The sequence below is a fragment of the Homo sapiens genome, chromosome 3 (genome assembly GCF_000001405.40).
Source record: "Homo sapiens chromosome 3, GRCh38.p14 Primary Assembly".
NCBI classification, from domain to species: Eukaryota; Metazoa; Chordata; class Mammalia; order Primates; family Hominidae; genus Homo; species Homo sapiens.
Window position 1 is genome coordinate 123,131,176 of NC_000003.12, and position 14,265 is coordinate 123,145,440.

The 14,265-nt window shown below is 47.9% G+C and overlaps 1 protein-coding gene across 4 annotated transcripts in view; it reads left to right on the forward strand.

Annotated features, from left to right (window-relative positions):
• PDIA5 (protein disulfide isomerase family A member 5) overlaps positions 1 to 14,265 on the forward strand; it is a 95,080-nt gene that overhangs the window by 64,151 nt on the left and 16,664 nt on the right. The window lies entirely within an intron of this gene.

Sequence of the window (14,265 nt, forward strand, 5' to 3'; positions counted from 1 at the left end):
GGGAGGATTGCTTGAGCCTGGGAGGTTGAGGCTGCAGTGAACTGTGATTGTGCCACTGCACTCCAGCCTGAGTAACCAAACAAGACCCTGTCTCATTAGCCGGGCGTGGTGGCGTGCACCTATAATCCCAGTTACTTGGGAGGCTGAGGCAGGAGAATCGCTTGAACCTGGGAGGTAGAGGTTATAGTAAGCCAAGATTGTGCCACTGCACTCCCTCCTGGGCAGCAGAGCGAGGCTCCATCTCAAAAAAAAAGACCCTGTCTCTAAAAACAATTTTTTAATTTAAAAAAAAAAGATATTATCTAGGGCAGTAGTCACCTCTTACCTTACAAGTGGTCGCGGGCTGAGGCCCCAGGAGAGCCTGTGCTTGCCCAGGAGCTGAGAGGGCATGGGGAGGCCAGGCTGGAGCTGCAGATCATCCAGCATCTAGAATGCCTTCTGTCTGCTTCACCTCATTGCATTCTCATTCTGAAATGACCACAGTGAATCAAGGAAGTAAAATCCTGTAAATGCTATCAAACGTGCTTGCGATAAGGGCTGGAAGGCCTGTGGCCCAGGAGTTTTCTGGAGCAGTGTCTTCCTACTCCCATGGAGAGTGGAAAATTGACCATAGGTGGTTTCCAAGAGGGACAAGGCTGCCCCTGGGAAGGCAGACAAGGCCGCGTGAGAGCCAGGGGATGGCAGGTGTGGGCACAGAGTGTTGTGAGTAAGAGATTGTGGAGGAAAAGCAAGAGGTCAGTGCCTCATGGAGCAGGGCTGAAATCGTGAGGTCACAGTGCATGAGGATGGTTAGTCCATAGAGGCATATTCTATCAGGAGGAAATGTTATTACTCCTCTTAATCATAGGGTCCTCATGCCAACAGTTGTGTGTCACCCTACAGTGGTAACACATTGTCTTCCTGAAGGGTCATCTTTTGTTTTACCCAGCGTGCCACAAAGTGAGTACAATTAGCCCCATTTTACAGATGAGACCGTCACACAGAGAAATGACATAGACCACCCACGGCTCCGTGAGTCCTGAGCTGCTTCAGGCCTCAAGAGCCTTAGGTTCCAGGAAGAACAGGGTCAGAGCCTGAGCCCCAGTCTCCTGGCCGCCTCCCCTTCCCCCACAGTATCCATGAGTTTGGCTAGCCTGGGAATTGCTCATAAACATACTCTTACCATGGATTTTCCTAACTCATTATTTCTTACAAGTGCTAAATTCTTAGGAGACTCTAAAGGAATAGCTCTAAAGGACTCTAAAGGAATAGCTCTAAAGGAATAGTTTCCTATAGCTCTTCTGAGTTCCTAGAAAAGAGACCAAAACAAGCCCCCAAAACTAAGTTTCAAAAACCCTCTAGTCTTGTGGGCCTCTCCTGATGAAGCGCAATGAAGGGCGTCTGCCTCAGGTCTGCTAGGGCCTTGGTGAGGGCATCCCCGAGGGTAAAGGTACTCAAAAAAGTGCCCGCCATGAGGCCAGCCAGGTAGCACTGCAGTGCTCTTCCTAGCTATAAAATACACTCCCTGGCCAGCCTCAGAGCTGCTGCTGGAAGCGAGTCTTGCAGGAATTGATGTTGAATCTAGAGCCGAAATCACCATCCTTGCACCCCTGTCCCAGCCGTGACAGCAGATACTGGCTGGCTGTTTCCAGTTCCTCCTTGGGAACCTCCAGGGTCTTCATCCCCATGTGTCTGTCCTTCCAGTTAGGGTTGGGAGAGGTCACCAGTCCCCTGGGCATTCATGGTTGTGCGCATGTGGGTTTATTTCTGCTGGGCTGGCAGAGTGAGAGGGATCAGGGCAAAAGCATGTGGTTAGCTTCCTGATATACTGCCCGTCAATGTTCCTGTCGGATGGTAATAGCTCTGGATTAATTCCCTTTCTACACACTTCTTCATTAAGAGCATGGTCTTTAGCCTAGGGAGGGATGGAATGTACATGCTTTAGGGAGTTTGGAGCTCAGGACAGGTGAACTGAGAGCAGAGAGCTCATAGCTGCCTGGCTTTGTATCTCATGCCAGAGTGCTTCTGAGAATCCCCAGTGATCAAGAAACCACTTTTGCAGTGTTTGAGGGACCTGGAGTAAAGGACAAATGTCAAGAGGCCAGAGACCAGCAGTGTCATCCTGCGTTTCCTAAGTGCAGAAAGGGTGAATTCTGGAAATCACAGTGTTCCAGGTGTCAGTCCCAGGCCAAATACGGAGTGATTTGGAGACAGACCATTTTAGAGACTCACAGAAACAAATTGGGATCCATCAACATAGCAGACCACAGCTTCTACTCCAGATCGCTGAATGCGCCGCTTGGTTTGTTTCTTGGGATAGGATTGCTGAGCTTGATGAATTAGCGTGTCTTTCTTTTATCAAGACATTTGACAAAATGAGTTGCTGTTTTCCTCACTGTGATGGGGAGAATCAGACAGGATGGAGCTACCCTGAGGGGAAGCATCCCCTGGATACATTGTGACTGTGAATCTGGCCTGAGTCTGTCTAGAGGGTATGTACTTGTTTTTAATCAGCAACTTTGTTAATGCTATAAAAAGGCATACTTTCACATTTGGCAGGGTTAGCCTTGGGAAAAGGCTGACCAGCTGAAATGTCAGACCATGCATTGACATTTTGAAGTACCCCAACAAACCGAAATAGTGGGGCTCAAACTAAAAAGCTGATTTATTTTTTATGACTCTATGCTAATTATAAAAGTAATACATGTACATTTTATCAAGGGATAATATAGGAAAGTATAGAGAAGAAAATTAAAATGCTTCCTGATACTGATTCCCAGAGAAAACCTGGTCTTTCTTTGCAGTGTTGTTTGTTTTCTTTTCTTTTCTTTTCCTTTTCTTTTCTTTTCCTTTTCTTTTCTTTTCCTTTTCTTTTCTTTCTTTTTTTGACATAGAGTTTTGCTCTGTCACTCAGGCTGGAGTGCAGTGGCACAAACACAGCTCACTGCAGCCTCGACCTCCTGGACCCAAGTGATCCTCCCACCTCAGCCTCCTGTGTAGTTGGGACTACAGGTGCACACCGCCACACCTGGCTAATTTTTAAATTTTTTGTAAAGACGGGGTCTCACTTTGTTGCCCAGGCTGGTCTGCTTTGTTGCTTCTATGCCTGTAGTAAGTACCCAGTCAATGTTAGTTTCTTTCCCGGTCCTGCTTAGAAAGGCCAGGAAGGGAAAGGGTCTTCAGCTTTCCTCTGACCTGTGCCACCCCAGGGGGGTGCTCTCTGGCACCTGTGGGTTCCAGAGGCAAGGCACTTGCTTCTCTGCCTGGAACTGATGGGATGCTTGTGAGGCTGCCCTGCTGGGCTCTCAGCAGGAAAGGCACACGGCACCCCTCCCCGTTCTGTGTTACCCATCACCGTAAGTGATGACTGACCTGGAGACACCATGGGCCCTGCTCCTTTACCCTCTTCCCAGCACTCCTGCCACTCACTTCCCACCTCATCTGCCCCCATCTCCCCATTGTCTTTCTTCCCTCTCTCTCCCAGCAAGAGCCCATTAGAAACCCTCCACAGATACTTCAGTGGCCTCTCCAACTGATGCCTAAGTTGTCACTAAATAAATGAGCCCAGGGCAGCCACGGTGCTAGGCCCTTCATATGGGCGATCTCTATTCTGCCACAGGCCACACTGAGATTTACAGCCAGGTTTGCCCCACAGCCCTGTCCCCCAGGAGCTGGGCCGGGCCTCCTGGGCAGGACAGGCCGAGTGTGAGCAGAGGGCTCTGAGAGGGGTGTGTCTGTGGTGCTGCCTGGACCCAAGGCCAGGAGCCGCCTCTCTTGCTAGCACTTGGCTTCCCGTTTGTAGCAAGGCTTCGTGCCTGACCTCCCTCTGGTCCTCACAGTGGGGCCTCACATGCAGCCCCAGGCCCGGTTTTCCCACCCTGCAGGCGACGGAGATGCTCTCTGCAAATGGTGTGTCAGGAGGACAGTGGCTGCTGCCACCCGTGGCACCTTTTTGTTTGTGTTTTTCTGCGGCGTTCCATATGAGAGAAGTCAGAGTGTGTGTGGCCACTCATCTCCTCTTGTCACTGTTTTTTGTCCCTCTCTAGTAACTTCAGGTCTGCATTAGCAGGGGAAGGACAAGCTGCTGTGGCACTACCTGAGTAGACATCATTTATATGGGGATGTTCAGGGGAGCAAGGGGGGCATCCCAGAGAGGGGTGTTCCTGAGCAGCTCGTCTCTCCTAGGCCTGTGGACACCCATGCAGGTTCTGGGGATCCTGAGGACCCCCTGCTCTTCCTCTCCCCTGTGCTACAGGGCTTCTTGGGGGCCACGTGGCTCTACCCTTGCCTACCCCCTGACTCATCGACCCATTTTCCTTAGCAACAGGTCTGAGATGGGATGTTTTCTTTGCCATATCTTGCCTCCAGCATGTATCTGCACTGCCTTCCAGGAGCCGGGCTGTTTCTGGCAGCAGGTCCCCATCAGACTCAAGATTTTCTGCTGTCATCTTTTTTTTTAAGCTTTTAACTGTATTTTTGTCTTATTCTCAAAGCAATATATAACCTTTGTAGAAAATCTAGAAGGTATAGTAAAATATAGGTGATTAAGGAAAGAAACTACCTATAATCCCCATTATCCAGAGGTAACAACTTTTTTTTTTTTTTTTTTTTTTTACTTTTTGGCATCATTCTTGCTAGTCTTTTTCATTTTTTTGGTCTTATTTTTAACTTTTATTTTTTAAAAGAGGATACCATAAAATCGACCTTTTTTTTTTTTTTAATCACATGTATAGATTTGTGTAACTATCATGCCACGAAGGGCCTTCATGCTGTCATTTTATTTTATTCATTTATTTATTTCTGTTTTTTTTCTTTTCTTTTTTTAGAGACAGGGTCTCACTATGTTGCTCAGGCTGGCCTCAAACTCCTGGGCTTAAATGATCCTTCCACTTCAGCCTCCTGAGTAGCTGGGACTACAGGCACGGGCCACCACACCTGGCTAATTTTTTGGATTTCTTTTTGTAGAAATGGAGTCTCCCTATGTTGCTCAGGCTGGTCTTGAACTCCTGGGCTCAAGTGATTCTCCTGCCTCGGCCTCCCAAGCAGCTGGGATTATAGGCATGAGCCACTGCACTTGGCCACTTGTATTTTCTAATTGCACAAATAATTTAAGAATAATATTAACAGCATTCTTGTTATCAGCAGTGCAAGGTTCAAGGGATACATAAGAATATAGTGCAGACAGTGAAAATCCCTCACTCTCCACGCCGTGCCCCTTCTCAGGGCTGGTCACCACTCACAGTAGAGGATGGATCCTTCCTTCTCCTTCCGCAGTGCTTCTACCTAAACAACAGGGGGTTGGTTGGCTGGGCATGGTGGCTCACGCCTGTAATCCCAGCACTTTGGGAGGCCAAGGCGGGTGGATCATGAGGTCAGAAGTTCGAGACCAGCCTGGCCAAGATGGTGAAACTCTGTCTCTACTAAAAATACAAAAATTAGCAGAGCATGGTGGTGCACGCCTGTAGTCCCAGCTACTTGGGAGGCTGAGGCAAGAGAATTGCTTGAACCCGGGAGGCAGAGGTTGCAGTGAGCCGAGATCATGCCATTGCACTCCAGCCTGGGTGACAAGACAAAAAAAAAAAAAAAAAAAAAAAAGGGGGTTGGGTTTTTTGTTTTTGTTTTTTAACATAAGTAGGACTACTTCCTATCCATTCTTCTGTGATTTGCTTTTTTTAACTTGTCAATAGGTCTCGAAGATATTTTCATGTAAATGTAGATATTGGCACATAAATCTACCTCAATCTTTTTAACCATTGAATAGTATTTTATAATTTGGATATGCCAGAAATTTTAAACCATTCCCCTACTGATAGGTATTGTATTTATCTCCAGTTTTTCACTATTCAAACAATACAGTGAGCATTGGTAAACATATATAATTGGGAAAATGTGTAAATATTTTTGATTAATTCCTAAAAGTGAATTTCCTTGGCCCTGGGGTAAGTAAGCTTGAGCTTTGGCAGATGCTACCAAATTGCCCTACAGAAAGGTTTTCCCAAACCCAGCGGGTGACAGAGCCTTTGTCCTTGCAGCCATGGATACTATCTGCCTTTTATATTTCTGCTAAGCTCGGCAAAACAGCAACTTGTCTGCAGCTATCTGACCTCTAGGGAAGCTGGACATCTTTTCATGTGATAATCAGCTTTTCATGTTTCTTCCATGGACCACCTATTCATACACTTTGCTCATTTTTCTGCTAGGTCTTTTTATTTATTTGTCTTTTTATTCTTGACCTAGAACTCTACAATTATAGATATTAATCTTTATCTGTTTTCTGTGTTTTCCATGTTCCATTAGTCTATTTCTTGCTCTAATTTTGTTTATGGTGCCTTTCATTGTACAAAGCTTTACATCCTTTGTAGCTGAGTAATAGCTATTATATTTATTGGTCACTGATCACACTTACTATGGATCAGGCGTTGTTCTAGGTACTTTCCATATTTTAACAGATTTAGTCTTCATAAAAAATTCGTGAATTTGATGTCATGATTAATTATTCTCATTTTATAAGTAAGGACGGGGAGACACCAAGAGGTCAAGAAACGTGCCAAAGGTCACATAGCCAAAAAGTGCAGCCAGGATGAAATCCCAGGCTGTCCCAGAGGCCACAGCCTAACCACTGAGCCATTCTGCAAGTCTGCCTTCTCCCATCCTGACCTCTGGGATTTGTGGGTTGTTTAGGAAATTCTCCCTTAGGATATTAAAATAGTGCCCTATATTTTGTTATAATGTTTTTATTTTTTAATTTCTTTCTTTAATTCATCTCTATTTTTCATTTGTCTATTGTGCCAGGTGGGAGGAAGGGATTTGAGACAGGGTCTCACTCTGTCACCCAGGCTGGAATGCAGTGGCATAATCATAGCTCACTGCAATTTCAAACTCCTGGGTTCAAGTGATCCTCCTGCCTCAGCCTCCTAAGTAGCTAGTACTACAGGCACACACTACCACGCCTGGCTAATTTTTTAAATTTTTATAGCAGTGGAGTCTCACTATGTTGCCCAAGCTGGTCTCAAACTCCTGACCTCAAGCAATCTTCCTGCCTTGACCTCCCAAAGTTCTAGGATTATAAGCATGAGCCACTGCATCTGGCCCTAATTTTATTTATTTAAGTCTTTTCTATGCATCTTTTTCCTTTACATAGTCCCCTTAACATTATCTTGTAGGTATTTTCATATGTTATTAAAAATGCTTTTTTTTGTACGTGCTTTTTGTGGCCACATAATATTCTGCTGTAGAATATAATGACACTGTAAATTGGTTAACTAGCATCATAATGTTGAAGGTTTGAGTTGTTTACCATATTTCCCATTATAAATCATGCTGCAAAGAACATTTTAATGCAAAAATATTTGTCTACATGTCTGATTATTTCCTTAGGATAGGAACCTAGAAGTAAAATTTTAAAAGCTTGTTTATCCACATTTTGTGCTAACATAAAGGAAAAAACAAACTCTTTGCATAAGAAGAGGGGTCATGTGATGAATAGAGGCATCTGTGAGTGTGTGAGTCTGCCCCAAGATGCCTGTAACTGTCAAGGAGTCCACTTTGGTGCTTATGCGTTTGGAAGCCTTAAAAGAGCTCTGAGGTCTCTGTAGGCCCCTCCACGCCCGTATTTCTGCTGGCATTTGTAGGAAACCCTCCCTCCCTGGCATGCCCCAAGCCAAATTCCAAGCAAGGCAGGAACCAGGCTCTTCTAGAGGCCCAAGTACTACCCCAGTACCCTGGCTACCAGGGAGCTTTACAGATTAATCTGGTCCTCTGGGAAATTCTGGTTCCAGCATCCAGGAAAGCCCTATAGCTGGCCTGTAGTAAAATCATAAGTATAATTGAATTTAATGAAATCCAGACGAATCCGAGGGCTTTGGGTTGACAGGAAGCCAACATTCCCACAGCCAGAAAAGAGCATGATCAAGGAGTTGATGTGCAGACCTCTATGCCAGATCACGGAAATCGGAGTAAGTGCACTTACACAGATGATAAAAGCCCAACAAGGAAGTTTAGCAATAAAACTTAATGGCCTCTCAAATCACAATCAGGACACAAAATGCAGTGGGCCGGAGTCCCGCTCCCTGCATGTAACCCTCCTCCTCCAACTGTCCCACAGCCAGGGACATCATGAAGGCCAGGCCCAGGAGGCTGGTCCTCAGGTCACCGCCAGCTCTATCCATCACCCACGGCTCCCCAAGACAGGAGGGTGTCTGGAAGGGAGGTGTTTTCTCAGCCAGACCTTTCTCCTCCTCTGGGCCTGGCCAGGCTCCTCATCTTAAACTCTGTTTGCAGAAGTTTATTGCTTAGCCTTAGTGTCTTATTCAGGGTCAGAGGGAATTGATGCTAGAATTGAAAACCTTAACAATATCAAGAGAATTCTAGGGTATGTATGGGAAACTTTAGAACAGCATCCTTAGATGTTAGAGATTTTGGGAGACACTTTTCTCCTAGTGAGGTGCAGAGGAGGCGCAAAGATGGTAGTGGGGAGGAGAGGAGAGGGGATGTGCATAGTAACTGGCTTGGTTGCCAGTTCTACTAATTAGAGGTGTTTAGTCAAATTAACGACTATTTGAGTGCAAGCCATGACCCTTGCCCATAAAGAATTTAGTCCTGCCAAACCTTGTGTGTACAGGTGTAAACCTAACAACCTAACAAGTCATGAGGCTAATTCATTCAGAAAGCGTGTGGAGCAGCGTGGTCAGTATCAGGAATATGGTGGCCAATTAGACAAGACAGCCGAGCCCCTGCCTGCACATACAGAGCCTCCATTCCAGTTGAGGGGATGGGCAGGGAACAAGTGAGCAGATTACTCCAGCTGCTTTGAGTACAATTGAGAAAATAAAACAGGATATTGGGAGAGGGCATGATAGCATGAGGCGCCTTTGGGATAGGTGGTCAGGGAGGGTCTCCTAGAAGGTGAAATTTGAGTGGAAGCCTGAGTGGCTGATGTAAAGAGGGGTAAGCCGCATACAGACCTGGGGGAAGATGTTGGTATGTATGCTCCAGGTGGGTAGGAAAGAACATGTTCCAGGGCCCTGGGGTAGAAATGAACTTGGTGTGTTGGGAGAAGAGGAGAGCCAGAGGCTGCAGTAGAAGTGACCTGAGTTGAGGTTGAAGGTAGGCAGGACTCAGCTTGTGTGGGGTCTGTAGCCATAATAAGTTTGGATTTGAATCTACCTGTGATAGGAAGCCACTGTAAAGTTTTAAGCAAAGGGATCTGATCTGATTGATGTTTTGAAAATATACCCCGGCTGCCCTTAAATATCAGAAGACAGCAATATCACAGTCACAAAGCAACACAAAATTAAATGCCATAGAAATATCTGAATAAGAAGTATTTTGTAATTAGAAGAGAGACAGATCATTCGATGGGGCTACAGTGAACTGGGAAGACTCAAAGCAGGGGCCAGAACAAAGGTAGGATTGCGAGGGGTTGTCCAGGGTGGATGTTGCCTATCCATCAGAGCAGGGGCTGGGAGGAAGAGGTGGCAGGTGGTGATGGCCCTGGGGGATTTGTCACTTCGTCTTCCAGAGCTACAATTTCTGGCACTGTAAAACGGACCTACTGAGCTGTGTCATGTGTCTGGTGGGGCTGCTGCGATAGAGTGTGGAAGCCCAGCACAGACAGCGAGTGCTTTCCTTATAGAGGTGGGGAATTCTGGGAGCTGAGGCCAAAGCCCAGGAGACAGCCATGTGTGCGAGCTGCGGAAACTGGAGGTCTCCTGGTATTGACCCCAGCTGGCTTCCCATGCCTGTGGCAGACGTTGCAAGTTGGTCACAGCTCCTCTTCCCAGTGAGCGAGTTCTCAGACTCAGCCTCTGTCTCAGGCCCACCGCTGATGGAAGCTGGCAGGTGGAATGAAACCCACTTGCCACCCTGGCAGGGCAGTGGCATCAAAGGCCTGGAGCCTGATAAAGGGATGAAGTAAACCTCCCTACCAGCACACAGTGAATTCTCATCTTCAGGAGTCCTGCCACATCAACAGGGTCACTTTAGAAAGCAACAGTGATTCTCAGTGAATGGCAATGGCTGGCTTTTCTTTGTCTTCCCTCCCCTGATTCCTACTCCAGTCCCACTGTCCATCTTGACCATGGGCCCTGCCAGCAGCTGGCCTAACAGCACCATCCATATCATGGAGGGTATGGGGAGAGTGGTCAAGGGAGCCTCTCTTTCCTGCCTCTCCCACCTCCCTGGAGGCCACCCAGGGCCTCATGCCTGCATTTCCCGAGGCCTCCCAGTGTGTCCTCCACTATGTGCTGCTGGGCTGAGTCAGTCTGTCTCAGGGCAGTGGACCTTTGGGGACTTTGCATGGACCACTCACATCTCTCCAGAGCAGGTTGAACTCTCGGGCGATAGACTCACCGCCACAGGAGAGTCTCTGAGCTTCCTTCTCCTGCAGTTTGTTCATGCAGGGTGAGCCCCCTCACTCTGCCCCAGTCAGGGGAGGTCAGCCTGAAAGCAGGAGAGTGGGGGGCTCACCTTGGACAGGTGCAGGGAGCAGCAGCTTGGGGTTGCCCCCGGGGCAGGGAGATCCCTTTAAGAGCTGTAGAACTTTTTCATCCTGACCGTGGCCCCAAAGGATGGTTTACTCCACTCTATTTTAGTGAGAAGCAAAAAAATAATTTTTTAATCTTAATATACCTCATATTAAGTCAGTAGAACCTTCTGCAGATTATTCCATTTACTCCTGACATGTGGGCCAGTGTGGAAAGACATCTAAGCCTGGGCCCCTGTGCATCAGCTCTCCGTGTTCTTCCGCTTTGCCTCCCATTGGACAGTGATTGGCTTGGAGTCCGGTGGTCTCCTTTGTCCTGGGCTCCTAACCCCAGTTCTGTGAGCAAGTTCAGGTAGTCCAGGATCCCTCTGGAATTGTACATACATGTGGAGTATATGCATCAGTGTGGGGAAGGGGAGGAGAGGCTTTTGTGACAATCTCAAGAATGTCAGTGCCTGGGAGGCACAGACTCCTGCCCCAGCTCTCCCTGGTCCCTCTTGGAGTTCTTCCTCTCACTGCTGAGGTGGGGGTCGCTGCCTAGAGGGAGCGGCCTGCCTGCTGTCCCCACTGGATCGCGGGCTGCACTTGTCCCATTGGGAGCAGGCTCAGGGAAATACAAATAGCACTGCGTGCTTTTATGTTTCAGGTGCATCCTATTAAATGGGCTTTTGCGGTTGCCCCTGGGAATCTGCATGTAATCGGTGTGTAAAATTGTTTCTGAGGGGAAAACAAACAGCCAACTTACCAAAACAACCCTTTTGTGACTGGATTATTTAGGTAACACATGGCTCATGATGATGCTAAATGTTCATTTCTGGAAAGTGATATTCTTGTCATTCAAAATAATGATGACCTTGATACCTCTACAGCTTATGATGGGGGGATCCCAAGTGGGGTCTAGTCAGACCGTGAACTCCCAAAGTCATCTAACCCTATGTGCATTTTTCTGGAAGAAGGGTTTACCACTTTGATCATGATCTCCACAATGTCTGACTGCAGGGGACATTAAGAATATCTGCTGTGGAGAACAAGGCCAGGAACAGCCAGGCTGTCTTGCCCAGCCCAGGGGCAGCCTCTGGGGGGGCCGAGCTCAGCAGTCCCAGAGGAGCCCTTAGGAGCACTTTTGGGGCTATGTGCCTTGCTCAGCCCTGGCAGCGGAATTCTGCACTGCTGAATTGAGCATGGGGACGTCCTCATTTCTCTGAGGCTGCCCCTGCCCTCCTGACTGGGTCCTCTGTCCTCTGTCTCTAACTTGCCCACATGTGTCCTTTCATCTGCCACCTCCAGGAGGTCTTCTCAAGCCCCTGGTCAACCCAGGAGTTGTCTACTAATTATTTAATTAGGTCTCTTCATTGCTGACCAGTAAATATTTATCATGTATCTATTAAATGGTGATCCTTTTGCTTCATGGGGAGGTACAAGGTAAAAAAAAACCTCAGGTCCCACCTTTAGAGAGTCACCATCTGGGGCTGGGCATGGTGGCTCACACCTGTAATCTCAGCACTTTGGGAGGCCAAGGTGGGTGGATCACAGGTCAGGAGATCGAGACCATCCTGGCTAACACAGTGAAACCCCATCTCTACTAAAAATACAAAAAATTAGCTGGGCGTGGTGGCACATGCCTGTAGTCCCAGCTACTCGGGAGGCTGAGGCAGGGGAATCACTTGAACCCAGGAGGCGGAGGTTGCAGTGAGCTGACATCGTGTGCCACTGTACTCCAGCCTGGGTGACAGAGCGAGACTCCATCTCAAAAAAAAAAAAAAAAAAGAGAGGCACTGTCTGGTACCTAGAGCCCAGCATGATGAGTGTGTAGTGTGGGTACAATATGTAATAGGGCTACAAGCAGCTGCCGGCTCCCCTGGGGCTGCCAGGGCAGGTGGAGTGCTCTTCCTCTGGTTCATCCCTTGAAGGCATCATGTGTGCCACTCTATTCCCCTCTGGACCAAAGACCATGGTCCTCTCTGTCATTATGCTGGAAGATTCTAAGGGCTGATGCCTTTTCTACCCTTTCTTCTGCATCATAGCCCAACAGGAGTAGGCAGCTCCCTAGATAATGGCAGCAGAGGTGCCTGTATACCCAGCAGTTCCTCCTCTTCTTGTTGTGGAGCCTCCCACTTGAGGGTTAGCAGTGTCTCTCTTCCTTGGATCCACCTGGGAAGAGCTGACATGTTGATGTGGCTAAGCACTGTAGCCACTCCCTGGGCTGCATTCCATGAGGGTCAGTGCCCTTGACCGAGTCATGTCTCCAGTGCTCTGTCCAGAGGAGGAGCTTCACAACACTGCCTGGGAGCTCAAGGATCAGTTTGGTTTTCTGTTATCAGTTAAGTGGGGAGTAGCCACTCCGGGGTCCCTTGTCCCTGGGAGGGACAGGGTGAGGATGAGCTGAGGAAGCCAGGTACAGGCAGGAGTGAAATGGAGAGATTAAGAACGAGACAGGTTCATGTCTCACCTGGAGCTGAGTTCTGCAGAAATGGCCTTGGAGGAGGAGACAGGAGCTTTCACCCCTGCCGGGTGCTCAGCTGGAGGCAGGAAAGCCGATTCCGTAGCTCAGTGGGAGGTCTCCTCTGATTACACTGTTTGACTTTCTGTCTTGCTTTCTTCTTGTCTTTCTTTTTCCTAACAATCAGTAGTAGAATTATAGCGTTCTCAGCTCCCACACAGTGGCACACCCCTGAGAAGGTTGAGTCACGACCTGTCATCCGCTGATCCTAGTTAATGCATGGTCCCCGCACAGCCAGGCTTACCTTCTGAGCAGCCTCCATCCTGAGCCAGTCTGCAGACCCCTCACCTCCCAGTCCCTCCAGCATCAGAGGCCAGAAAGTACTCTTTCTATTAAAATGAAAACAATGTACAAATGTCAAGGTCTGTCATTTACACAAAGTGCTTAATTTCTTTTTAATGCATCAAATTTTATTATTTCTGACATCTTACTGTGTTCATGCAGCTGTAAGAAAAGCACAGAGCAGGCTGGGCGCGGTGGCTCACGCCTGTAATCCCAGCACTTTGGGAGGCCGAGGTGGGTGGATCACGAGGTCAGGAGATCGAGACCATCCTGGCTAACACAGTGAAACCCCATCTCTATTGAAAAAGTACAAAAAAAATTAGCCGGGCGTGGTGGCGGGTGCCTGTAGTCCCAGCTACGTGGGAGGCTGAAGCAGGAGAATGGCATGAACCCAGGAGGCGGAGCTTGCGGTAAGCAGAGATGGCGCCACTGCACTCCAGCCTGGGAGACAGAGCAAGACTCTATCTCAAAACAAAAAAAAAAGAAAGAAAAGGACAGAGCAGTTTCTATCCCAAAAAATTCCCATCATGTCATATGGGGACAATTAGAATGTAATTATGTCCCATACTTATGCTTCTGTGAATTTTTGTGCCCAGCTCAAGGCCTCAGACTGCCTTCTGTCCAGAGAAGATGATGATGGTGATCACAGCATGGTGCCACAACCTACACGCTGCCTGCAGCTAGGGCCTCTCACCAGATGGTTGGGTTTTCAACCCAGCTCTGTGACCATGGCTGTGTATATGGCCTTGGGCAGTCACCTGCCCTCTTGGTGCCTCAATTGTCTAATCCATAGAATGGAGATAATGTCAGTTCCTACTTTGTGGGGTAGTTATGAGGCTGTAAGGCACTGGTCAGTACCTGGCACACCAGTTGCCCGTATTATTTATGCAGTTGTTTTATTTTTGTGTCTGGGGTACCTTCCCACTACCCCAACCCACTTCTGGTGGATTATGCAAAATATTTCTTTTCTTTGAGCTGGTGCTGCTGCTGCTTTTCTCAGGTGTCTGGGAATGGGACTGAG